Source organism: Homo sapiens, chromosome 5 (genome assembly GCF_000001405.40).
Source record: "Homo sapiens chromosome 5, GRCh38.p14 Primary Assembly".
Taxonomy (NCBI): Eukaryota; Metazoa; Chordata; class Mammalia; order Primates; family Hominidae; genus Homo; species Homo sapiens.
The window spans coordinates 116,935,232-116,961,207 of NC_000005.10; the positions used below are offsets into that span (position 1 = coordinate 116,935,232).

Consider the following 25,976-nt stretch of genomic DNA (forward strand, 5'->3'; position numbering starts at 1 on the left):
AAAAAGTTATAAAAATTGTGTTTGTAATTTAAAAATTAGTGTTTTCTACAAGTCTTCAATCAATTTTTTTCTTAAGCCATTATTACCAGAACTGTACGTAATTTTCTAGAAGTATAAATTAAAATGGGTTTTGGCTCATACTCATCTCTAGAGATTTTTGAATCCTGAGTCTCTCTTCCAAAATATTTATTATTTCTCCCAAACTAATGTTAATTTAATTCAATCTATGTGTATGTACTTGATATGTAATTTCTACTCAGCACAGTGCTTGCCACTTACTAAAGAAGCTTAGAGTGAGAATCCAAGTGTTTCAGTGTCAACATATTGCAATTTAAAAATTTTAAACTAGGTATATCCAGGTGTCCAAAAGTGCACATATGACCATTGTGACAGTTAAAAGACAGCCACAAGTTCTTTGGCATTCCTCTATTGAGAGGTGGGTCTGTGTTCCCTGTCCTTTAGTTCTGGTTGGGCTCTGTGACTACTTTGATTAATAGAATGTGGCAGAAGCAATGCTGTGCCAGTTTGCAGGTCCTAACCATATGGTGCAGTGCCAGCGGCTTCTACTTCCCATATCTGGAAATACTTATATTTGCAGTGTTTCCTCTGGGTAATCCACTGCCAGGATGTGAAACTCCAAAGCCACCTGATGAAGCCTTGTGTAGGTGCCCCTATCAGTAGCCACAGCTGAACTCCCAACAGATAGCCAGAATCAACTGCCAGCCATAATAACAGTCCATTTTGGGTACTGAGCCCAGTCAAGAGTTTCCATGACTGCTTTGCCAGCTAATATCTAACTATAACCTCATGGGACACCCTGCATGAGCCTAGTCGACTGACAGAACCATGAGAAATAATAAAAGCAATTTAGTTTTAAGGTACTGAATTTTTCATTGAGGGGTGGGGTTAGTGGGGGGAATTGTTACACTGTAATAAATAAGTGGAACATCTATGTGGGTTTTAGGGATGGTTTCTTAGAGTTGTAAGAAGGTCACTTATATAAGACCTTCTTATTGTACACAAGATGTTCACTTATTTTGAGTTAGAGGATGAGTATGAGTTATCCATAAAACAAAGTTAAAGAAAATGATAAGAGCAAAAAGAGCCTAGTACGTTCGGGAAAATGCAAGCAATTTAGCTTTACTGAGACTAAAATGATAATAAGGAAAGCTAGAAAATTGGGTCCATTGTTCAAAGAGGTTTCTATGTACTATGTTGAGGATCTGGTGCTCAGTCTTCTAAGTGGTTCTAATTGTTCTCAGAAAGCTAACAGTCTGAAGTCTTCAACTAATTGGATAATAATGAACTGAGGGGTTCATCCAAGTTGTCTCCAAATATGTTAATCGGCTTTGATCAGGCTCATTCATTCATTCGTTCAAAGATTTATTGAGCTCTTACTGGGTGCTAGGTGTTAAAGGGATCAGAAAACCAATAAGTCATAGTTCCGTTCCCTCAAATGCTTAGAGTGTCTTTGATATTCAGATGTATAGGAAAAAGTTAAAAAAGACACAGAGTCAAAGATGATACATGGAAAATTACACCTTCTGAATGCTCTAGGAGTTAAGAGAAGAAAACACGATTGTGGATTCCCACCCAAGAGGGTGTTCTTGAGCAAATAGGCTCACTTCCTAATGTGCACAAAAGCCAATCGCAGTGGCGTTGGCTTTTGAGAAAAGAAAAGCTCTATTGCAAAACCAGCCAGTAAGAAGACAGTAGTCAAGATCAAATCTATCTCCCAGGTTTAAGTTCTGGGGCAAGTTTTAAGGAATCAGAGGGCAACGGAAAGGATTTAGGGATGTTGGCTTGGCAGGGTCTGATTGGAGGGCTTCAAATTTGACCATTTATGGTAAGGCACGCTGAGGCAGATTTTTGGCCTAGATCTTCCAGGCCAATGGACACCTTGCTTCTGAAAGAGCTCTGGTGTTCAGGTTCTGGTCATGTCCCAGTCTTGGCTCTGAGGGGAGGAATCACTGGTCCTAGATATTGTTAGAAACCAAGGCTTTTTGTACTGTCCAGGTTACATGACTTGTTTTTGACTCTGTTACACTTACTAGGTAACTCAACATTTTGTTATCAACATAGTAGGGTAAGCTTGGGCGGGTCCCACGGTTACAAAGGGACTGTGGTTATTTATATCTTGGGAAGGAACTAACACTATCTCAACCCAATCCCACAGGAATACTCACTTTCAAAAAAGACTGATTAGGTATTTTATAAAATAATAATAATGAAAGTAAACACTTAAATTGCATTAACTATGTGCTGGCACCAGTCTAAGTGCTTTAAATATTTTAACTTATTGAAAGATAGAAACTTAATCTCAAACAATCCTATGTGGTAGTACTAATGATATATATATATATATATATATATATATTTTTTTTTTTTTTTTTTTTTTTTTTTTTTTTGTTGGAGATGGAGTCTTACTCTGATGCCCAGGCTGGAGTGCAGTGGCATGATCTTGGCTCACTGCAAGCTCTGCCACCCGGGTTCAAGTGATTCTCCTGCCTCAGCCTCACAAGCAGTTGGGATTATAGGGGTCTGCCACCGTGCCCGGCTAATTTTTGTATTTTTAGTAGAGACGGGGTGTCACCATGTTGGCCAGGCTGATCTTGAACTCCTGACCTTGTGATCCACCTGCCTCAGCCTCCCAAGATGCTGGGATTACAGATGTGAGCCACCACGCCTAGCCTAGTGCTAGTGATATTATCCCCAATCTGGAGAGAAGCAATAGAGTCATTAACTTGTCTATGGTCATATAGCAGTAGGTGACAGCACTGGGATTTAAACCCAGTTGCTACTACTAGCCAGCACACTACTGCCTCTCATTATTATACTATGGAATTTATCTGAATGTGTTTTATGAAACATAACTTTTTAATGACAAGTTGATAACCTACTTTTACTTTCTTTGTATATTAGCTATCGGCGCTCTTAAAAAATAACAGAAATATTATATAATCAAACCATCCATCTATCAGTCTATTATTTGGCTATTTTACACCATTTTTACCTTAATGTATAACATAGTATACATCTTATATACTAGATATATACTTATAGCATACATCTATAAGTAATGTATAAGATAGAACTAAATTGATTTTTATTGCTATGGATACTTTTTGATAAGTAAAATAGAATTAGAATTTTATTTCGTAGATGGGGGACAGTAACCCAAATATTTGATTAAGCTCTGAAAGCTGAAATGCATGAATGCTGCTGGTTGAAAGCATGTCTGTACCATAGTTTTTACCTTTCTTTTGTTCTTGTTTGAACTTCATTCAATTTGGCCAATTTAGCCTGAGAGAAAGTGGCTTTCAGTGAAAAGAATGTTGGTGAAGAGAGAGCAGACAGCTGTGGCAAGAGAGAGTGAGGCTTTTGCTTGCATAGTAAGGCAGAGCAGAGGCTGTCCCCAGAGATCCCACACACATCACAGGGACGGCATCTGCATGACTGGCTGAGTTGCTGTTTCTTTTGTTTTGATTTCCCCCAGTCCCCCACCCTGCCCCATCTCCAACAAAGCCATATTTAGTTAGTACTCTTAAGAAAATCACAGCCTCATTAGTTTACAAAGACAATTAGGAACAAACAGACCAGTACTTGCTAACTTCTCATCTTTAAATAGACCAGACCCAGAGAGATGAATTGTTTGGAAATGCTGATAGAGGCAACAATAATAACAGCAGCTACCATTTACCGAGAATATATTATATGCCAGGCTCTGGTCTAAGCATTACGTTCTTTATTCTTCAAAGCAACCTCATGAGGTGGGAGCTATCACAACCCTGTTTTAAAACTGTAACAACAGGCTCAGAGATTGTCAGTAACTCATGAGAGCCACAAAGTTGATAAGGATTCAAGTCAGGACTTGAATTGGCTAGGTTCTGAGAAGAGTAACCTGTGACTCTCTTAGGACATTGTTTATCAAAGGTAGGTAAGAGTGCCTGGCTTTGTTTGTTTTATTATTATTATTATTTGTCTGATGCTTGGAAAATTCCCTTCTCTCTGAATCTGGCAATGTCACACTCATAGTTCACCTTAGATGCATTTTTACCTCTCTATTTGGTGGCTCTTGTTGGGAATTGTGAACTCTCATTGAAGTCACTGTTGGTGATAGTTGAATAAATCTAGCAGAGGCTGGAAAAACAGAGTTGGCTGCTTAATGAGTGGTGATCAAAGCAAGTCAGAAGAATCCACATGCAGAACTGGCAACCCTGTCCCTCACTGCAGCAGTTGTGGAACCAGTTCTCCTAATAGACTCAAAGCATTTGGGTAATTTTGCAGGATGCTAATTTTAAAAAAATATTTTTTTGCTTATTTTGCATGATGCTAATTTTAAAAAAGCATATCTGTAAGATTTCCCAAAATCCTATTCTGAGATTTTCTTAGTCCCAATTAAGATATCACATGGCATTAATGGATTTTTTTTTTTTTTAAAGACCACGTTTTGAAGGTGCTCGGGCTTTAGAATGTGCAATCTTTTCTGCTCTCCGTCCTTCTCTCATTTCCCCTCTTGACGTTTTGGGATCCGGCAGGCACCCTCTTGACATCAGACCCAGAATATGTGTATTAGTGGCAGCTGCCAAGGGAATAAACAGGACACAACAGATGTGGCGACAGCCGGAGTGGACTCAGTTCATTTTGAATGGTTTTTCAAGTGAGGCTCAGCCAGGCAGCTCACAGACCTCATCATGTGTTTTTGTTCTTGTTTTTGTTAGTTAAAAGGCTAGTTAAAGGTACAATACATTTGTACATGAATAAAGAAGTCTTAGAAGAATTTAAAAATATAATATTTTCATCTGAAGACCTACATTTAAAAGAGGGCTTCCTAGCATGCTTAGTCTCCAAAACATATGTAACAGTTTATGTCGACTGCATCTCTAGTTATTGACCATGGCAAAGCTTTCCTAGATAAATTTCCCTAGAAAGAAAGTCAACAAATCTTTTAAATCCTCAGCCTCCAGATCACTTCAGCTGGGACTCTGGGGACCAAGCCTGAACTTGGTTCCCATTTGATCCATCTGGGGTTTAGCCTACCCACCTGGATTTCAAAAGGCTCCCCAGGTAGCTCTATTATATAACCAAAGTTGAGAACCATCGATCTGGAAAGATTTCATCTTTCCAGGGCAATTTCCCTGGGCAATCATGATGGCCCAGGGGTAGGGAAGTTCACAATCCTTTCCCTTTTGACAGGTTTATCATGAGTTGGGACTAATTAAAAAGCCTATGGAGAAAGAGATTGAATCCAAAGCTGTCATCATCATTTCCTATCAGTGTGACTTTGTTTAACCTCTGTAGTTTGGTGTCCTACTTTTAAAATTACAATAATAGCACCTTTCTGTGGGGTTGCTTTTAAAACTAAATGAGATCATTCTTGGAAAGTATCTAGCATAGATCCTGGTGTTTAGTAAGTGTTTAATAAAGATTGGTTTCCTGATGCGCCTCTCCTTGTCATTCTGTTGAGGCCAGCCGCATTTGAGAACACCTCTGTGTACACACACACACACACACACACACACACACATATATATATTTCATATTTATGTTGACTTCTTCCTAGGAAATGGGTTATGATCTAGATAAAATGGAAATGCTTAATAAATACTTGTTGACTTGAAGTGGATAATGAGGTTGATGTCCATTCTCCGGTGGGAGATGCTATGGCTGGGGAGACATTAACACAGAGAGAAGAGGAATATTATCGAGTCTTTACCCCACAGTTTCCTTTACATGTGTTTATCCCTGGGTAACAAAAGAATTCTAAGGTATACCTTCAGAATGAAGAAAAACAGTACTTTCTGGCATCACACAATGCCCTCCAGTTTTGGCCTTCAGATACATTTTATGTGGAGTAGATGGGCACTTTACTTGTGTTGGTTTGACACATTTGGGTTTCATATCAGATTTTAATTGACGAAAATCATTTTTCTGTTAGAGAATTTTGATGATCATTTCTAGTCTACCTTCCTCTACAGATGGGGGAACTGAGGCCCTACGAAGTTAAATGATCTGCCAAGTTATCCCTGAAAGTAAGTGACAGAACCGGGTGGTGTCCTCGGCTCTCCCAGTCTCCTCTCTGGCCTTCCGGTCTTTCCTGCATAGTCTATGGTGGTGTTTATCTGACCTGAATGCAGGTCAGCATCACCTGGGGAATCTTGTTAAAATACGCATTCTGATTCAGTAGGTCTGGGGCAGGTCTGAGTCTTCATTCTTACATGCTCTCAGTTGCCAGAATGAAACAGCCTTCAAGTGTTAACAGTGACTTCCTAGCATTTTGCTTAGGTGCTATGCAGACTTTAAGATTCACCTCTAACTGGCACGTTTTCAATCTCTTACCTTTTCTAACATGGATGCTCTCATTTGCAATGAATCTCCTCTTCTTTCCACTGATCAGAACCCCATGATTCAGCCAAGACTTCCCTCACTATTTCAGTCTCTCACTATTTCATTCATCTCCTCTCAACTCTCACAAATTAACATTTAATTATTGTCTTGATGTTTCCACAGATTGTTTTGTATGTGTTAACTTCTTTATAACTAGATCATAAGCCCCTTTAGATGAGAATTATAGCCTGACTTTTTACAATGCTGAATATGTGTAAATGGTTAATAAATATGCATAGGCTAAGAAAATCTTCCCACGTCAGTTTGAGTGATGCATGGTAATGAGGGATTGCTGACTTCCTTATTCGTGAGTGTATCCTAAAGTAAACGCCACTGTCATTATTATTATTTTCATCAACACTGCTTTATTATTATCTTCATCAACACTGCTTTATTATTATTACCTCTTTTTCCCCAGGTAGTCCGCTGGGTCTTTGCACAATGATGATTTTCTGTAGAATTTCTAAAACATCATTTGCTTTACTCAGTTGGTTGTAGTCAGTTGTTCTTAGCAATAATAATGACATGTTGAGAATCATCTGATGGGCTTTGAACACCCTGAGCAGAGGCTAGCCAAGAGCAGCTGGCTGGTTAATTGTGGCCTCCAGTCATTACCAGGAGAGTAGTGCCAATGAGGGAAGAAAAGTGCTGTAACTGCTGCAAAACGTATTTAAATCACATTTTTTGGTACAAATTCATAGTTTAAAAAATTAAGTAGCAATAAAATCCTTAATATGCCGACCATTTTCATGGGCTTGAAACAATAGACACAAAGACCTGGCCTGAAAAATCACATCCTCACCAAAAGCCTGTGAGGTTATTTGATGGTATGTGTGGCTCCTGCCTTCCAGAATTCTCTGTGGGTGATGGATGGGGATGGCCATGGCACTGCTGGCTGCATGAGCACCTGAGAAATGGCCGCTTGAAAAAGATCATTTTAAAACAGAGCCATTTGTGAATGACTGGAGTTTATGTTGGTTGCCCCTTTTTTATATGACTCAGAATATATTAATTATGTTCCTGTGCCTGGGGCCTTTCATGTCGAGTTTAAGTCGACAGTGGATCACAAGTGCCAAGTTATAAAATCCTGAAATAAGGGTTTCTCTTGGAAACCTTGGAACTATATGCTAGCAATTAGAAAGACTGACTAATGCTCTGGATGACCTCATCATCTCTTTTTTCCTTCAAGTTCCACAGCTTTATGGTCATGTTGCAATTAGTGATGTAGTGACAGAATGTGAATAGAATGTTGTCACTATGATGGCTGTTTCTACTGTCATTCTGACAATATTGTTGTTACTTCGTAGAACATTAAGGCCCTCAAGTTTCCTAGGTTTAGGACTGAACAACTCCGGGAATCTGAAAGATGATGCAAATAAAGAGGAAGACGGACATAATCTCGAAGGGAGAGAAAGGAGCTGGGAATGGGGGATCATATTCTAATAGCTCATCATCACCACATGAAACATACAATGCAGAGGTAAGTTCATGGCTCTGTAAGGTTAAACAATTCTCAGGAGGCTCACGTATTAGGAAGGATGTTGGAAAGTGTATGGCCAGTGACATTTCATTTTTGTCAGTTTTAGTGCTTGATATTTTAAAGAATTACCTTAATTAGATGTAGTTAATTCATACTTAAGTTGACTTCGTTACAAAAATTCTTTTCTGTGGTTCTCTGGCTTTCATTATTATTAGAACAAAGAATCAAATATTTTAAATAACTTCTGAGTTCTTGTCCATTAGCAGGTAGGGTTCTTGAATTTTGAAAATGAGATGTGAAGAGTGACAGTCTATATATCTCTAAAACATCCCCAAATGAATTGAAGTTTGTTTTCAACTCTGAGCTCCACTTGGCTACAAGATGATAGTTGTTGTTACTGCTATGGTCATATTTGCTGCCATTTTTACTGTACTCCTTTCTGAAACGTCAAGGCCCTAGAGTGCTGGCATGTTGGTGTATATGACAGAGCAGAGTCAGGAATCTGAGGACACCAAAGGAAAAATGGAAAAACTCCCACAAGGAAGAGAGAGATTATGCTTAAAATATGTATCTTTATGAAAACATGCCGAACTCTCCCTATCCATTACAACCAGATCCATTGCTTTAAAATGGTACCTTTATGAAGTCATCCCCTTATTCAAAAACTATGAAGGCTTCCCCATGCCTATAGCATAAAGACTGAATACTGCATTTGGGCCTTCAAGACTTGCCGCAGCTGGCCTTCCTCTACAACTCAAAACGCACCTGCCCCATTTTCACTACACGTAAGGTTCTTTATCTCTACGTTATGGCTTTCCTTCCTGATGACGTGGTAAGCACTTTGTTGTCAGAGATCTGCTTTATTTACTTTTATATCAATTAAAGCATCAATGTCTGCCTTTTTTGCCCCTTTCTGGAGAAATCATCTATGCCCCACTCCCTCCTTTGGGCCAAGGTTAACACAACCTCTTCCCTTCCTTAATCTTGACAAGGCAGCAGCTACAGCCCTAGTTGAGTCAGAGCTGCAAGTTAAACTGTTTGTCCTAGATCAGGCAGGTTGTATGCCAGAGATGAGTCCAAACCATGCTGTGCATTCAAGCCACAGACCTTTCCTCTTCCAGAGCATTGATCTGTGTTTTGCACGTAGGCTCCCATCTTGGTTTCTTTCCTTATCACCCCAGTGAATCATCTGGTGGCCCAGAATCACCATGCTCTTCACCTGCATTAAACTACCGCTTGCCTGATTGCACTCACACAGCTGCCACACCCTCCCCACCATTTAACCTCGTAAACTTGTTTTGGCCTTATAAGCATCAAGACCTGCCTAACTCTGCCCCAGCTGGAAACCATGCCTTGCATTGCTCAACTTCCTTTGTCGAGCATTCTGATCCTAGATAAGTATCTTTGCAAGCTGCCTAACTATTCCTGGATTCTAGAGTTTTGTTTCCCAAGCATATTCACATACTTTCCAACTGCATAGCGTTTAGCAGAAGGCAAAACTGTTGTTTCCCTAAGAAAATTTTAAATTCCTATTTCCCTGGAGACATAATAGGTAACATGCCCTGAAAATGTCCTGTGTGTCTATGACTTAGTGCACTGAATTCAAAAGAGTTCCTGAAGGGTGAAATCATTAGCATATTTTATAATATTCAAAGATCATTGACAATAAGGGAATTGTATATAACCTGCTAAATGTGTTGTTAATAGTGTTAGAAATTTTAAGTGGAAAAACAGGTATTGATAACATTTAGGATGAGTCAATACAGAAACTCTAAGTATTCTGAAATTCAGAAAATTTCACCTGGATTTGGTGTCTACTTAAATGATATACATGTCTCAAATAAGAATATTATTTCTGCTTCATGTTTTTGAGAGGAATAACTAATTGCATTATGTACCTGAGATTATTTTTATTTATTTACATCATTTGTTTTTATAATTACAGTATTTTTTTTTTTTAGATAGAGTTTCACTCTTTTGCCCAGGCTGGAGTGCAGTGGTGTGATCTCAGCTCACTGCAACCTCTGCCTCCTGGGTTCAAGCGATTCTCCTGCCTCAGCCTCCCGAGTCGCTGGAATTACAGGTGTGCGCCACCACGGTGCCTGACTAATTTTTGTATTTTTAATAGAGACAGGGTCTCGCCATGTTGGCTAGGCTGGTCTTGAACTCCTGACCTCAGGTGATCCACCCGCCTTGGCTTCCCAAAGTGCCGGGATTACAGGCGTGAGCCACTGTGCCCTGCTATAATTACAATTAAAAGGTGTCTTTTGGAGGATATAAGAAGAAAAACTATTAGTCAAAAAAGCAAAACATTTGCTATAATCATATATCCCCCAATCATAATGATTATCATTCTCCTCTCTTTCGCTCTCCCTTTCACGTCACCATACATATCATTTCTTACCAAAATTAAATCCTTCTTTACATACATTTTGTACCTAGCTTTTATAATTGGCAAAAGTCTATGAACATATTTTCATACTAACATATATTCATATTATCTCCTGTAATGACCCTATGCGGTTCCTTTCATGTGCGTCCATGTGAAGAGACCACCAAACAGGCTTTGTGTGAGCAATAAAGCTTTTAATCACCTGGGTGCAGGCGGGCTGAGTCCAAAAAGAGAGTCAACGAAGGGAGATAAGGGTGGGGCTGTTTTACAGGATTTGGGTAGATAAAGGAAAATTACAGTCAAAGGGGATTTGTTCGCTGGCGGGCAAGAGTGGGGGTCGCAAGGTGCTCAGTGGGGGAGATTTTTGAGCCACGATGAGCCAGGAAAAGGACTTTCACAAGGTAATGTCATCACTTAAGGCAAGGACCGGCCATTTTCACTTCTTTTGTGGTGGAATGTCATCAGTTAAGGCAGGAACAGGCCGTTTTCATTTCTTTTGTGGTGGAATGTCATCAGTTAAGGCAAGGACCGGCCATTTTCAGTTCTTTTGTGGTGGAATGTCATCAGTTAAGGCGGGGCAGGGCATTTTCACTTCTTTTGTGATTCTTAGTTACTTCAGGCCATCTGGGCGTATACGTGCAAGTCACCGGGGATGCGATGGCTTGGCTTGGGCTCAGAGGCCTGACAGTTCCTTGTATTGATTCCCTGTAGTACCACTAGTCTCTTATGAATGGATATCACAGGGACTCATCTTTTTGCTATTTTTAAAATGTTGCGAAAATATCCTTTGGTCTACATCTTTGAGATCTAGTTTTTTTTTTTTTTCCTGTAAATATGCAGAAGTAGATGACTGGTGCAAAGAATAGGTAGTTTTCAGCTTTCAGATATTTACTGCCAAATTGCTCTCAAGAAAATTTGCTTCATGTTATCTTCCCTATGGCAGGGGATGGATGGGACGGCTCTTTTCTGGAGACCCCACTGTAGTTCTATTGATTAACAGGGCTCTTGTAAATTTCTGTCAAGCTGACAGGCAAAAAATATTGTGTATTGTTTTATTTTGTTTATCTAATGTATTCGTTAATTTAACAGTTATTTGTTGAGTACCTATTATGTACCAGGAACTCTTCAAGGGGTGAAGGGAAAGTATAAAACAAGACAGAAGATTTCCTTTCTTCCATGAGGATATAATTCTAGTGGGAGAACCAATAAGCAAACCAGCAGAAGAATCTTAGACTGGGAGACGTGCTAAGCTGAGAACTGGGGCAGCCGGTGCCTGGGGAGCTACACTGGAACTGTGATTGTGAAACCAATTCAAAGAGGTAGCATTTACAGTGAGACCTGAATGACAAGAAGGAGCCAGATGTGCAGTGATTCTCCAGGAAGGAGTTCCAGGTATCGAGAACAGCTGGCATAAATGTTTGAAGGTGGGTATAGCAGCACTATTCACAATAGCCAGAAGGTGGAAACAACCCTAACGTCCATCAGCAGTTGAATGGATAAACAAAATGTGGTATATCCATGCTATGGAATATTATTCAGCCTTAAAAACAAATGAAGGACTGATACATGATAATGTCAGGCCTCCGAGCCCAAGCCAAGCCATCTCATCCCCTGTGACTTGCACGTATACATCCAGATGGCCTGAAGTAACTGAAGATCCACAAAAGAAGTAAAAATAGCCTGAACTGATGACATTCCACCATTGTGATTTGTTCCTGCCCCACCCTAACTGATCAATGTAGTTTGTAATCTTCCCACCCTTAAGAAGGTTCTTTGTAATTCTCCCCACCCTTGAGAATGTACTTTGTGAGATCCACCCCTGCCCACAAAACATTGCTCTTAACTTCACCGCCCATCCCAAAACCTGTAAGAACTAATGATAATCCATCTCCCTTCGCTGACTCTTTTCGGACTCAGCCCACCTGCACCCAGGTGAAATAAACAGCCATGCTGCTCACACAAAACCTGTTTGGTGGTCTCTTCACACGGACACACATGAAACTATGACTTGGATGAACCTTGAAAACATTAGGTTAAGTGAAAGAAGCCAGTCACAAAAGAAGCCAGTCACATACATATTGTGTGATTCCTTTTATATGAACTATCTGGAATAGATTAGTCCATAGAGACAGAAAGGAGATTAATCATTGCCAGGGGCTGGGGTGGTGGTGGAGAATGACTGCGTAATTTGTATCGAGTTTTCTACAGGTGTGATGAAAATGTTTTCGAAACAGGTAAGGGTGATTGTTGAGGACATTGCGAATGTACTAAATGCCACTGAATTGTATACTTTAAAATCGTTCGTTGTTATGCGAGTATTAGCTCAATTTTTAAAAATGTGCTAAGGTGAGTATAAACTTGCTTGGTGAGAACAGAAGGGCTGGAGTTAGGTACATGTGAGAATGAAAGGAAGGTAGATGTGAGTTTTCTCTCCCAGGAGCAGAAATCTTTTGCATCTACCCCTTTCCTAGTAACAGTGGCTCTTTCCCTAGATCCTGTGGGAAAGATGGCTTCCCACCTCCTCCCCGGCGATAGACTTGTCTTAACCTGCATCCCTCCCGGTAAGCAATGAGTGTATGCCTGGACCCTGGGGCAGGAGAGTTTGCTGCCCTCTGCTGGCAGATACGGCATCTGCTTCATAGGAGAGAAGGGTCTGGGGAAATAGGAAGTGTGTTTTCTCTCCCCAGCAGCTGTTGATCACTTCCTGCAGGCTGCATCATCCGGCTAACTTTGCGGAGTAGAGGTGGGAGATTTCTCTTCTGCCTCCTTTGTTCTGCCTGCAGGCTTTCTTGTGGGAAAGCAAGGTAGCCAGGGAGCCCACACTTCTATGAGTCTGGAGTTCCCGGCTATTCTATACTGACAGTCTAGTCCATGCTTGGCCTTAATGAATTTCTTAAAATTTTAGTTGATTTCTCCTTACTTGCTTGTATGCTGCCTACTTCTTTTTCTCGTGCTCTGTCGAAGATGAAATAGTTATATGCCTTGTCTGTGCTTGGGAGGGTTTACGTCTCCTTGGAATTTAGTTCACTTAGTGCCTAGATTGCTCAGCTCCAGAGAAGGTATGATTTTGTAGGTCATCTGTTTTTTTCTTATCGTTAAGTTTGGAGTGATATTAACTTATGGCTTTCTACAGTCGAAGTGGAAGTATGTGTGTGTGTGTGTGTGTATATATATATATATATGTTTGATCTATGTATAGATTTTCCACTCCAATCCATAGATCCAATCCACTGTTTTTCCACAGTGCCACTAAGTTTTAATTACTATAGTTTTATAATATACTTTAACCAGTAGGATAATTTCTCTCTCATTATTCATCTTTAATGAAAAAAAGATCTGGGTTATTCTTGTTTTTTTTTTTTCTTCTAAGTGATCAGCAGGATTATCTTTCAAGTTCTCCAGGAGATCTCATTGAAATTTTTATTGGGATTATGTTAAATATTAGAGTAGTTCTTTGTCAGCATTTTCAAATTCTTGAAGGACTATTTAGAATTCTAATTCTTCTTGGGTTAAATATGATAATTTATACTTTCTAAAATATACATTATCAAGGTTTTCACATATAGTAAAATATATTCACATTTTATAAAATATTTTCTATAGGATTTTAAAATCTATAGTTCTCTAGTTATATTTGTTTAAAATTTTTTTGATTTTTAGTTTATTTGCATATATCGTAGAGGTATATATTTATGGGGCACATGAGATATTTTGGTACAGACAGGCACAGTGTAATAATACCATCATGAAAAATGAGGTATCCATCCCCTAAGCCTTTATCCTTTGTATTTCAAACAATCCAATTATACTCTTTTAGTTATTTTGAAATGTACAGTTGAATTATTATTGACTATAATCCTGTTGCACAATCTGATTATATTTCATTTCTGATTTTTTATTCTACCTGATAAATCTTTCCAGAGTTTATCTTTTTCAGTATGCATTTTGCAAACATCCAGCTCTGAGGTTTATTCTACTGTTGCTTTCCTGAACCTCAACTTTCTCAGCTGCTAAGTTGAAGATAATAGTATTGACTTCACAGGATTGTCTTAAGGTTTTGATGAGACAATAAAAGTAAACATTTTGGGCTGGGCGCAGTGGCTCATGCCTGTAATCCCAGCACTTTGGGAGGCCGAGGCGGGCGGATCATGAGGTCAGGAGATCGAGACCATCCTGGCTAACACGGTGAAATCCCGTCTCTACTAAAAACTACAAAAAAAAAAAGAAAATTAGCCGGGCATGGTGGTGGGCACCTGTAGTCCCAGCTACTCAGGAGGCTGAGACAGGAGAATGGCGTGAACCCAGGAGGCGGAGCTTGCAGTGAGCCGAGATCGTGCCACTGCACTCCAGCCTGGGTGACAGTGCGAGAGAGCGAGACTCTGTCTGAAATAAATAAATAAATAAATAAATAAATAAATAAATAAATAAAATAAACGTTTTGGCATAGTGTTGGTCACATGGTTAAGATTCAAAAAATAATCCAATGATCATCACTGGATTCTGTTTTTAAACATATTCATTCTCCTCTTCCTCTTCTTTAGGTTAATTTTACAACTTTTATTCAAAAGCCTTGAATTTCATACTAATTTAAAGCTATTTATTTATTTATTTATTTATTTATTTATTTATTTATTTTTTCTCAGTGTAGGCTTACCCATATCCTATAAATTTAGCTTTGAGGGATAACATTAAAGTTTCTAAGCCAGGCATGGTGGCCTAGAAACTGTAACCCCAACATGTTGAGAGGCCAAGGCGGGTGGATCACCCAAGGTCATTTCAAGACCACCCTGGCCAACATGGTGAGAACCCATCTTTACTAAAAATACAAAAATTAGCTGGGCGTGGTGGCAGGCACCTGTAGTCCCAGCTACTCAGGAGGGTGAGGCGGGAGAATTGCTTGAACCCGGGAGGAGGAGGTTGCAGTGAGCCAAGATGGCACCGTGGCACTCCAGCCTGGGCAACAAGAGTGAAACTCTGTCTTAAAAAATAAAAATGAATAAAAATAAAAAATAAAGTTTCTGAATTGATTGTAATTAAAGCATTGATTTTCTTCTTGGGTCAACAATCATTTAAAATAATAGTTTTGAGAGATTTCTGTTTTGTTTTGTCCTAATTTTCAAATTCATTTACTATTTTTATTAAGAAATATGATCTATTTTTACTACTGAGCATTTATTGAGGTATTTTGTAATACCTCAAGATCAATGGAAAGAATCTTTATTCTCTGTTTGAATAGTACAAAGCATCATATATACTGACAGTAACGAATGAGAAATTATAAAATTTAACTTTCTTATGCTCTAAAGCTAAGGAAAAGACTTTTAAATGCTGATAGCTGAACGAGCAATTAAGTTTGGCTGAAGTGAGGCTGAACGAGCAATTAAGTTTGGCTGAGGTGGAAAACTATTTTAAAAATAAAGGCTTCATAGATGAGATTTGGGTATGAAGAAAGCTTAAACTTGTAAACAAAATAGGAAAAGATGAAAAAGGGCAAAAACAATATTAACATGTTTTTGTTTTGTTTTTTCCCCAAAGGATATAATGAGCTTTTCTCTACATAAATGAATCTTTTTGTCAGCTTAGGAAAAATTTCTTCTATTATATATGTCAGTATTGTTTTTTGTTCCACTTGTTCCATTATGTTCTTTGAGAACCCAAATTGTTTATGTTTAATTTTGTTTCTCTTTTCTATCTATAAACTTCGTCATTGTTTTCTTCTGAATTTTGGGAAACCTCCTTGAGATTTTCCTCTCTATCGCTCATTAGATTTTTCACATAGTCTTTCCCTTTGTTGACTCCAAAATGAATTTTATTGTTTTTATTTTAAGCCATTAATTCCCTAGTAAGTTATGCTCTTTTTTTTTTATCTATTGTATCTCTTACAAGTTCCTCCTCAGCTTTATTATTATGATTATTTTTGCATTATGCTGAGCATGCAATTTCCTGGAACTTTCTTCTCCATACTAGAGATCATTTTTCAAAGGCATCTTTTTCCTCTGAATTTTCAGAATGTTATTTTTGCTCTCTTGGTCTCTACTATTTTTGAGTGGGCCCAGTACTTTATTTTGTACCTTTTTATCTACACTTAAATAAAATATAGATTTGAGTATAGGTTACTCCAGTCCTGTTTATGACGTTCTCCTAAATCTATCCTATTGGACCTAAATCTGGTCCAATCTCTACACCCTCTTGGGGAACCTGTATACCACAAAAGGTATAACCTCTACAGCTGCTACTACCCACCCCACAATTGAGTATATACAGTAGTAACTCTTTTCACTAGTCTCAACACAACCAATCTGTACCTTAATTTCTTCTCTAAAACATACACAGTATTTCTCATGCTACTCTGAATGTTCATGGATAACAGGCCACTCCCTAGTATGTCTGTATAATTCTGATTATACTTACCAGTAATCACTTTGCTTGTTTCCCAAATTTGTTAATTCCAGTTGGCTGTTTTAAGAATTATATGATTTAATTGCATATTATGTAAATGGATGAATACATTTAGAATTAAGGAAATATCATCTGTGAAATACATATTTGGAAAAGTAATTTGCTAATAAATAATGCTGTCAAAATAGATGTCAGCAAGAAAATGGTGAAAGATTTAAATATGTAAAAATCTGTAAAGATTTTATACTTACATTGTTCCACAGAATATTGAGTTTTCAATTTTTTTAAAGAACTAAAATTTGGGATTATAGATAATGCATTACTCCAAGAAGACGGTAGGAAACTAATCAGTGGACTCATTATCAAACAAAAGGCTTTAACGAAATATTTGTGAATTACTTTGTTTTACATATTTAAGTTGAAATACTTAGAATATATGTTTCACTTTTCTGGTTTCCTGCTTTAACCAAGGAACAGACCAGAGTTTAGCAAATGCATGAGTTCTGCAAATAATAGTTGTTTCTTGTCTAGAATCTTTTGCTTCTTTTCTTTGTGTAGCACTTTACTTGTGGGGGTACACTTTTAAGATTGCAAATCACCGTCACCAATATGCCACTCTATTCTCTAACCTTTGTTTTCTGGGAGCAACTAAATTTTAATAAATATCATTTGACATGTAAAAAAAGTTTAAATTCAAAATAATAAATACATATGCATGTGTATGCACACTCACACACACATTCACACACACATACACACACACACACACACATGCATGAAGAGTTCTTGTAAACATTATTTTACCCAGCTCTATTTTTGTAAGGAAAAATGAAAGATATGACCCAGATTTCCTTGGGGAGAAAAGTTTTGGAATTAAACTACACAGGATATGCAAAATAAATGAACTCAAACAAACTGCAATGCAGTGGGAGTTCTTCTTTCATGCTGTAAACTCATTTGTCAAAATAATAGTTGCTATATCTACATGGATGACCTATATGGCCTCTCATTAACTTGGTTTGATTAGACAGCTAAACTATTTAGTAGAGTCTGAAGAAGATTCTCAATATAATTGGGAGCCCAAAGTGGATAAACCAACACTAAACAGTAAGAATCTAAATTCATTATTCAAGTAATTTTTGATGCACAAAACCACAGAAGAAATCAGGATTATCTCTGAGCATCTTTGTGCTGTGATAACAACCACTTATCTGTGTACGCAGATAAATCGCTAGAACATCGGATAGTGCAACGTATTTAATAATAATGTGGAAGAAGTTGCTCATAAGAGCTGATTATATCTGTTGATTTTCCTAGTTATTTGTGGAACACACTTAATAAGTGTTTATTGTTAAAGAACAATAGGAATAAAATCAATCATATATGTATGCTTTCAAATACTTATCTGTTCTAATTATTGGAGCCAATTTGAATTGCATCTTCTCTTTGGCAAATGACAGTTGAATTCATTGTAGAGGATACTCACATCTTTGACTCGTTAAAAATGATGACAATGGGCTGTTTTCAGTTTGTCTCTGTTGGTTGCCATAGTTTCCTAGGATACAATGACTCCCAGTTTCCATGGGCACACCACTGGCTAGGGCTGAAATGTTCTCTGTCATGGTGCAAGGGCAAATCTGGGAGCATCCTCTGTTTAAAACTGCATTTTTGAAAATTTCAAGATGGAGGCATTAATGAAAATAAAATAACAGCAAGGACTCCTTTTGTACAAACAAGGTACAATAATAAAGAAATGGTGATGGTAGGCAAATAGCCATAACAATGAAATTCATCAAGAAGGCAGATGGAAAGGGAAAGGGATAAAGAAGGAAGGGGGACACAGAGAAGGAGAGTCCGGAGCTTAGGGAAGAAACCACAGATGCTGTTTCAATTATTTGTATCACATGAGTGAAACAGAAATTTTCAAAAATGGCCTAGTTAGGGGCCATTTATTTAACAATAAAAGTACTTACTTTATTCTTTCATTTTATATTGACTCTAGCTTTTGGCACCTTTTTACCTCTTCGTTTGTGTGTGGCTCAATTAAAAGTAAACCAGCTCTTAGCTGAAGAACTCCTAATCCTGAAAGCTGTTTCCTTCAGTGTTAAATCAAGCCCCTGGTCTTTTCTACAAATTCTCATGCTCACATTTTTTGTTTTATGTATGGATTTCCTTTGCCTCTTCTTGCCCACTGTTCTCCAAGTTTTGTATGCCTTTCCTTTTTTTGTTTGTTTTCTGTGCTCTACAACCTACTTTCTCATAATCTTCATCTCAGCTGTTTTTTTTTTTTTTAAACATTACTGCTTTGTCAATGTGTTAGGTTCCCAGTGTATAGTTTTATGCTTTTTTGGGTCCTCTTTGCTGCCTGATAATAAGCTGCTGAGATAATTTACTAAGCTGTTTTTGCTTTTTTGGGAGGCTATTTAATGTGTATATTGCTTGCTGCCACTGAAGTTCATTAAGAAATACCTAGTTTATTCATTATTTGCATTCATTTATATCGCTTCATTGTAGGGGAGGAGATATATCTTTTCTGAACCCATCCAGATTTATGAATGGGTCCCTACAACAAAAGACAAATTAACAAAAGGGAAGCATGACATTTATTTATAATATAAGTTTTACATGACATAGGAGCCTTCATAAGGAAATGAAGACCAGAAGAAATGGAAGAACCCGTGTATTTTTTATACTAGCTTTGAGGAATAAGTGGATGAAATAGAGAAGATAATTGGATTTAAAAGTATGATTTAATGGTAATAAATCAGGACGAATTTAGTAAGAACTGTTTGTTCAGATTCTTCTTTGTGACCCTGTTATCTTCAGAGATAAGGATGTTACTTTCCTCTGCGTATAGGGAAGGCACCTCTCAAGTGAGGGTCTTATGGCCTGCCTCAGTGTATGGTCAGAGAATATTTTCTAGGATTTATGACCTGCATCAGGAGAGAAGGATGAGGGAAGGTGAAAGTGACATTCCTGCTTCTGTTTTCTCAAATGCCAAGGTGCCACATTTTGGGGGTAGTGTGTGCTGAATTGCATCACCGTAAAAATTTCTCTTCATTTCCAAAAAGTTGAAAAGATCCATTTTTCTTGAAGCTATACCTGAAAATAAAAAATTTCCTCTTTTTTAAAGAAATATCAGAACAATACAAGTGTGTTAGTGCCATTTATACTCTGCTGGGCCATGAGCTTGGAGTAAGTACATTGACTGTCTCCAAATAATTCAGAATTTTTTTGAAAAGAATGGAAGTAGCTTAGGATATTAAGTTAAAGAAGTTGATTGAAGAGCTAAACTTAGGTGTACTTGTATATGGGTTGTTCTCAAACTATAGTGTGCATCACAATTACTGGGATGCCAGCACAGATTGCTGTGCCCAATCACCGAATTTCTGGTTCAGTAGGCTTGGAGTGGATCCAACAATTTGTGTTTCTAACAACTTCTCAGGTGAGGCTAATGCTGCTTGTCAAGGGGCCACTCTCTGAGAAAGACTGTTCTATATTAGATAGAACACATTAATGTGGTCACTGAACAGTTAAGGAAGCTGCTAAATATGATTAAAAAGCTTTTGGAAACTCTCAGTACCTTAGGTGCTCTCTTCCTTCTAGTAAGAAGGGCATTCAGCCTATCCACATTGAAAATGAAGTAGAGAATTGAGGCTATTTTCAGAGTAATGTAACCACTAAAAAGCATGTTAACCTTGTTCTCTTGCCATTTTAGATGTTTAGGTTGTTTTCAAGACTATATTATTAAGATAATTACCTTGCTTTTTAATGATCTTATTTATGTTAATAATGTGGGTTTTGTTTTGTTTTTGGTTTTTTGTTTGTTTGACAGAGTCTCGCTCTGTCACCCAGGCTGGAGTGCGGTGGCGATCTCGGCTCACTGCAAGCTCCGCCTCCCGGGTTTACGCCATTCTCCTGCCTCAGCCTCCCAAGTAGCTGGGACTACAGGCGCCAGCCACCATGCCTGGCTAATTTTTTTTTAGTAGAGACGGGGTTTCACCGTGTTAGCCAGGATGGCCTTGATCTCCTGACCTCGTGATCCGCCCTCCTTGGCCGCCCAAAGTGCTGGGATTACAGGCATGAGCCACCGCGTCCAGCCGTTAATAATGTTTTAAAATAAGTTGGTTGGCACATCCATTGCTTTTGATGTCCAGAATGAACTTACCGTGGACAATTTTCAAATAGTTAGGCAAATCTCTCAGAACGTACATTACCCTGAAGTGAAAAAAAATTTATTTCACTAACAAATCAGATTCAGTAGTTGTAAATATTCCATAAACAATTATAGTTCATATCTAGAATAGAAGGCTTATTCGTATTATGAAATCTATTGATAATACAATATATTCTTGGATAAATGAAATTTAAAAAGCCAACAGCAACCAATCATTTAAATATTGCCAAAAAGCTATTTGGCAGTATTTGCCATGTATTTCTGATGCCAAAAAATGAGAAAGTAGGAATACTGTAGGTGGTTAGTTCTTTAACATAAGAAATGTATATATTCTATCAATCAATCAATCAATCAATCATCATCTGGCCAATCTAATCTAAAGACATATCTCTAACCAAAGTCAGAAACAAGAGAAGGGTACTCACTATCGCTACTATTTTTTACATTTTTATTGAGGCATAATTGATTTCTTTTATGATGAAATAAACTACACATATTTAAACTTCACATATTTAAAGTATATAAGTTTTGACATATGTTTACACTTGTGAAACGATTACTAGGTATAAAATAATGAACATATTCACTACCCCTAAAAAATTCCTTGCATCCCTTTGTAATCCTTACCACCTGCCGCACCTCACCCCTCTTGCCCTGGCCATTGCTAGAAAGAAGAGTACACACTATGGGATTCTACTTATTTACAATTCTAGAAAATGCAAACTTATCTATAGTAACAGAAACCAGATTAGCAGCTATTGCCATTATTTTTCACCACTGTTTGGGAAATACAGTAGCCAGTATTATTAAATATGAGAAAGAAAGAAAGAGCAAAAATGTTTGAAATGAGAAGAAAATAATTATTTGCATGAATATTATTGTTTACATAGAATATCCAAAATAATTTAAAAGATTAGGAGAATTCAGTAAGCTAGTAGCTTCTAAAAATCAATCTGTAAAAATCAATCTTTCCTATATGTAAATACCAATGAGATCATATAACTGAAAGAACGTGTTTCTAATAGCAACTAAAAATTAAAATATTTAGATGCAAAGTAACAAAAATTGTGAAGTTTGTATATGGAAAATTGTTTTAAGCCTTACTATACATGTCCATTTTGCCTAAATTAATCTATATATTCATTTAATCCCCATGAAAATAACAGTTTATTTTGCCTAGAACCTAGAACCTAAAACAATGCTAAAATCCATCTTGAAAAATATAGTTGTGGTTGTTAATCACTGCTATCTTGTAGGATCATTCTTTCACTATTTTTTCTTCAGGATTTTTCCAGCTTGTATTACATAACAACCACAACTATATTAAATATTATGGAAGCAATAAACACATCAAAGAAATGTAATACAGAGGATATTATTTGGGATAAACTAGGTAATAACAAAGTAACCCTGAAATCTTGAAGGTTTAACAGAATGAAAATTTCTTGTTCATTCTTCGAGTCTATTATTGGTCAGTGAAGAGTAGGGGGCTCAGATCTGTGTAGTCATTCAGGAACCCAGTGTAACGTTGACTCAGATGTTCTAGCAGTATCAACCCAAAATAGTTTTTCTTCAATCTTCCCAGCAGGGTAAAACAACTTGGAGAATCATGAATGTTTATTTCCTCTGTCTCAGCCCGGCAATGAAGTAATTAGATCAAAAATGGCCTTGCCTAACTGCAAAGGGGTTGAAAAACACTGGCTTCTACACACCCAGGAGATACTAGAAATGTCTGTGATAGAAAGTTCAGAAATAGCCCCCAATACATTTAGCAATACAGTTTGCAATATAGGCGCTATGTCAGATTTATTGGAAGAAAGGATATTACCTAATGCTTTGGTTGAAAGGCATGAAGCACTGAGCAGCAACATTTCTACCTTGTTCCTTATGCCAGCATAAATGCCAAATGAAAAAGAAGTTTGAAAAGAAAGGAAGTTCTAGAAGAAAGAAGAGACAAATCTAATTTTCAAGTGACAAAGAACTTTCTAAGCAAATAAAATAAAATTCATAGATAAGAATATGGACACCCAGAAGAAAACAGTGAGATGTTTAAGCTGGCAATTTGGGGAAAAAAAAAGAGAAAGGCCAATTTCAAACTCACTCATGATTAATATGTTAAAAAAGAATAAAATAACTTTTTTATCTAAAAAATACAAAATTTGATTATACCAAATATTAATAGTTGGAGAAATGCATATTTCATTGTCAGGAGTGCAGACATTTTTATTTTATCAAAACATGTGTATGTATATATATTAAGCATACGTAATATGTATATAAATTCTTTCCTCTTTTACTTAAAACGAATTATAAGAATCTAACAGTGGTTAGTTTTCAGAAAAGATCCTATGGGGAGTGTATCTACAGGAGGGGAAAGTTTTATTTTTTTTCAGTGTTTGATTTTTGCTAACCCTATATGCATACTGATTTTTTATGTTACTGTGAAGTTTATGTGGTGAGTTTTGTTTCTTTTTTGTATATCTTAATATTTAACAAAACAGTTAGAAATTATATATATATATAAAGTAACTAATAAAAACATTTTCTTCAACATCATTATTTTTCAGATAGTAAAGGTAAATAGGAAGAAAGTAAAAAGTGAAATTACAAAATGATAGGCTGCAGTTATATATGGAGTATAGTCTCTAATAAACTATTACAATCCTGACTCTCACTTTCTCTCACTTTCTTGGTGCATTTCCTATCAATTTCAAAGAAGTCTCATTAAATAAAGAATATATTTCTTTTTTTTTTTTTTTTTTTTTTTGAGGCGGAGTTGTGCTCTTGTTGCCCAGGCTGGAGTGCAATGGCACGATCTCGGCTCACTGCAACCTCCTCCCCCAGGGTTCAAGAAATTCTCCTGCCTCGGCCTCCCAAATAGCTCGGATTACAGGCATGTGCCACCAAGCCCAGCTAATTTTGTATTTTTAGTAGAGATGGGGTTTCTTCATCTTGGTCAGGCTGGTCTCTAACTCCCGACCTCAGGTGATCTATCTGCCTCTGCCTCCCAAAGTACTGGGATTATAGGCATGAGCCACGGCACCTAGCCAATAAAGGATATATTTCAAAGTCAAAGTTCTTTGGATAAACAGCTTTATGAACATTGATTTTTACTATATATATATATATATATATATATATATATATACAATTCATAGAGTAATTCCAAGATCATATGCGTGCTTCCACAAAATATCTATATAGGATATGTATTGATGTGGTATTTGTAATCACACAATCACAGAAATACCACAAGTATTTCTTTGGCACAGTTTAAAACATGGTACAGCCATAAAATGGAAGTGTTACAGCATTTAAAGAGTGAAGCAAATATATGACTTATATGAATAATACCTAGGCTACCGTGCTATGTGAAAAAACAGTGAAAAAGCAGTGTACAGCATACAATATTTGTTTAAAATAATATAACCTCTGTATGTACAGGCAGTGTGTGTGTGTGTATGTGTGTATAGTCTTATTCTCTAGGAATACAGTAAGTAACTGATAGCAGGTGTTGCTCTGATGAGAGTGGGAATGAGGATAGAAGATAAATGTATTATTCTTTGTTTAGCTTTTTATATTGTTTGATTTCTTTTGCCATATAAAATATTATTTAAAAAAGTGAACCAAATAACCAAAGAAAAGCACGTATGTTCTGCCTTTATTACCTTAGACATATAAGCAAACAATATTCAGATAAATACACCTTAATTTTTGAAATCTTGTCTTTCATTGACTTTTTGTAAATGGCGATGTCTATGTTTTTATGTGTGGAAGTCATATTACCTTCATCATGATGAAAATAACTCCTCCAGTCTACAAAGAATCTTATTCAGTCAAATTTCTTTTTCTTTAAACTCAATAATTTGAAAACAAATATTGTGGACAAATGCAGGCTATTAAGTAGTGAAAATGGCTGTTCACAGACAATCAGATAGTACACTTGTCCCCAAGGTCCCCACTTCCTGGCTCTTAGGCAAATCATGTCAACTGAGTTTCAGGCTTCCTCACCTCAAAAGTGGGCATGAAACACACATGCTGCCTTACAAGATTCATATGCACTATCTGTCAAGTGTGATACAAACATGTACGAAGAGGCTTTACAAACTGTGATGTTCAATTCACATGTAAAGAGTTAGTACTGATATTCCTTTAATGTCAGTAGAATGAATGCTCTAGAGATGTGTATAGAATATGGATATGTAGGATTAGGCATTAAAGTTTTGCCTCAAGCATATTCTAGTCCTGTACTCTGTTAGTTATTTTAGAGAAAGGGAGATAGAACAGCTACTTAATAAAAAACCAGGAAGTACAGTGTCCTTGGAGAAGTTAGAAATCCGAGTTCTGAAAGCTTATATGAAAGCCTCCCTGGCAGCAGGATGTTCATTCACAAATTGCCTCTACACCAAAGGAAAATCCAGGCATAGATCCAGAGAGGAATAAAACTCTATTAGAATTCAGTTACTGTTTATTTTGTTTAACTTTTTAACCCTCTGCTATTTAATTCCAGTTTTAATTACAGCGGAAGCAACACAAAAGCGAAATAAATTGGCTTTAAAAAATTCTTCATATATACATACCTGTCTATTACCAAAAAGTTAGCAAGAAAGATATAATGACACTAATTACCTTTTCGCTGTACTTGTCACATCGTGTTTAGTTTTCTCTTTTGCAATGGCCTTTTGTTCAGTAGCTCTGGAAAACTAGGTGATCCAGTCCACTTTAACATCCCTGACATCTTATGAGCAAATGATAAGCAATATTTTGGGTGACTGCTGGGGTAATTACAAATTTAGTGATAATATATGCAAATCTCATGTGAAGGAAATTATAGGTCACTGTTGTTTGTATCATGCCATTTCTGTGGTGATAAAACAAATTGCTGTTAATTACCAGATTATTACCATCCTTAATTTTGATAATTCTAGGCTATCAAAACAGTGTTTTGAATCACAAATCATATTATTTAGTTTTTCCAACAAGATGGTAGCACAGGGTTCCTCAATCATAATTCCAGCAAATACTTGAGAGTGTGTGTGCACGCGCATTTGACAAATTCATAGCTATTATAGAGTAAACAAGGATTATTCATGAGTCTTGGGAAGATGAGCAGTTTCCTTTTCACTGGCCAACATACATAT

At 37.1% G+C, this 25,976-nt stretch overlaps 1 long non-coding RNA gene across 2 annotated transcripts in view, besides 3 other annotated features; it reads right to left on the reverse strand.

Annotated features, from left to right (window-relative positions):
* Positions 1-18,196, reverse strand: part of LOC105379137 (uncharacterized) — a 32,012-nt gene extending 13,816 nt beyond the window's left edge. Inside the window, exon 1 of one of the 2 annotated variants that reach the window (XR_948694.3) lies at positions 18,145-18,196. This is a non-coding gene — a long non-coding RNA (uncharacterized LOC105379137). Of the gene's footprint in view, positions 1-4,057; positions 4,143-18,144 lie in introns of those variants that run through there. The other variant, XR_948693.3, reaches the window with a different exon arrangement.
* Positions 6,832-8,031: an enhancer, noted in NCBI's record as "BRD4-independent group 4 enhancer chr5:116277759-116278958 (GRCh37/hg19 assembly coordinates)". NCBI's record gives its function as "activates an origin of replication core promoter dependent on BRD2, P300/CBP, MED14 and CDK7 cofactors, and independent of BRD4, by STARR-seq in HCT116 cells {active_cell/tissue: HCT116}" and the evidence as "EXISTENCE:reporter gene assay evidence [ECO:0000049][PMID:35650434]".
* Positions 9,044-9,733: an enhancer, noted in NCBI's record as "NANOG-H3K27ac hESC enhancer chr5:116279971-116280660 (GRCh37/hg19 assembly coordinates)". NCBI's record gives its function as "activates a minimal SCP1, AML or CMV promoter by ChIP-STARR-seq in naive H9 embryonic stem cells {active_cell/tissue: H9 hESC(naive)}" and the evidence as "EXISTENCE:reporter gene assay evidence [ECO:0000049][PMID:30033119]".
* Positions 10,426-11,115: an enhancer, noted in NCBI's record as "OCT4-NANOG-H3K27ac hESC enhancer chr5:116281353-116282042 (GRCh37/hg19 assembly coordinates)". NCBI's record gives its function as "activates a minimal SCP1, AML or CMV promoter by ChIP-STARR-seq in naive and primed H9 embryonic stem cells {active_cell/tissue: H9 hESC(naive and primed)}" and the evidence as "EXISTENCE:reporter gene assay evidence [ECO:0000049][PMID:30033119]".
* Positions 18,197-25,976: the final 7,780 nt, after the last annotated feature.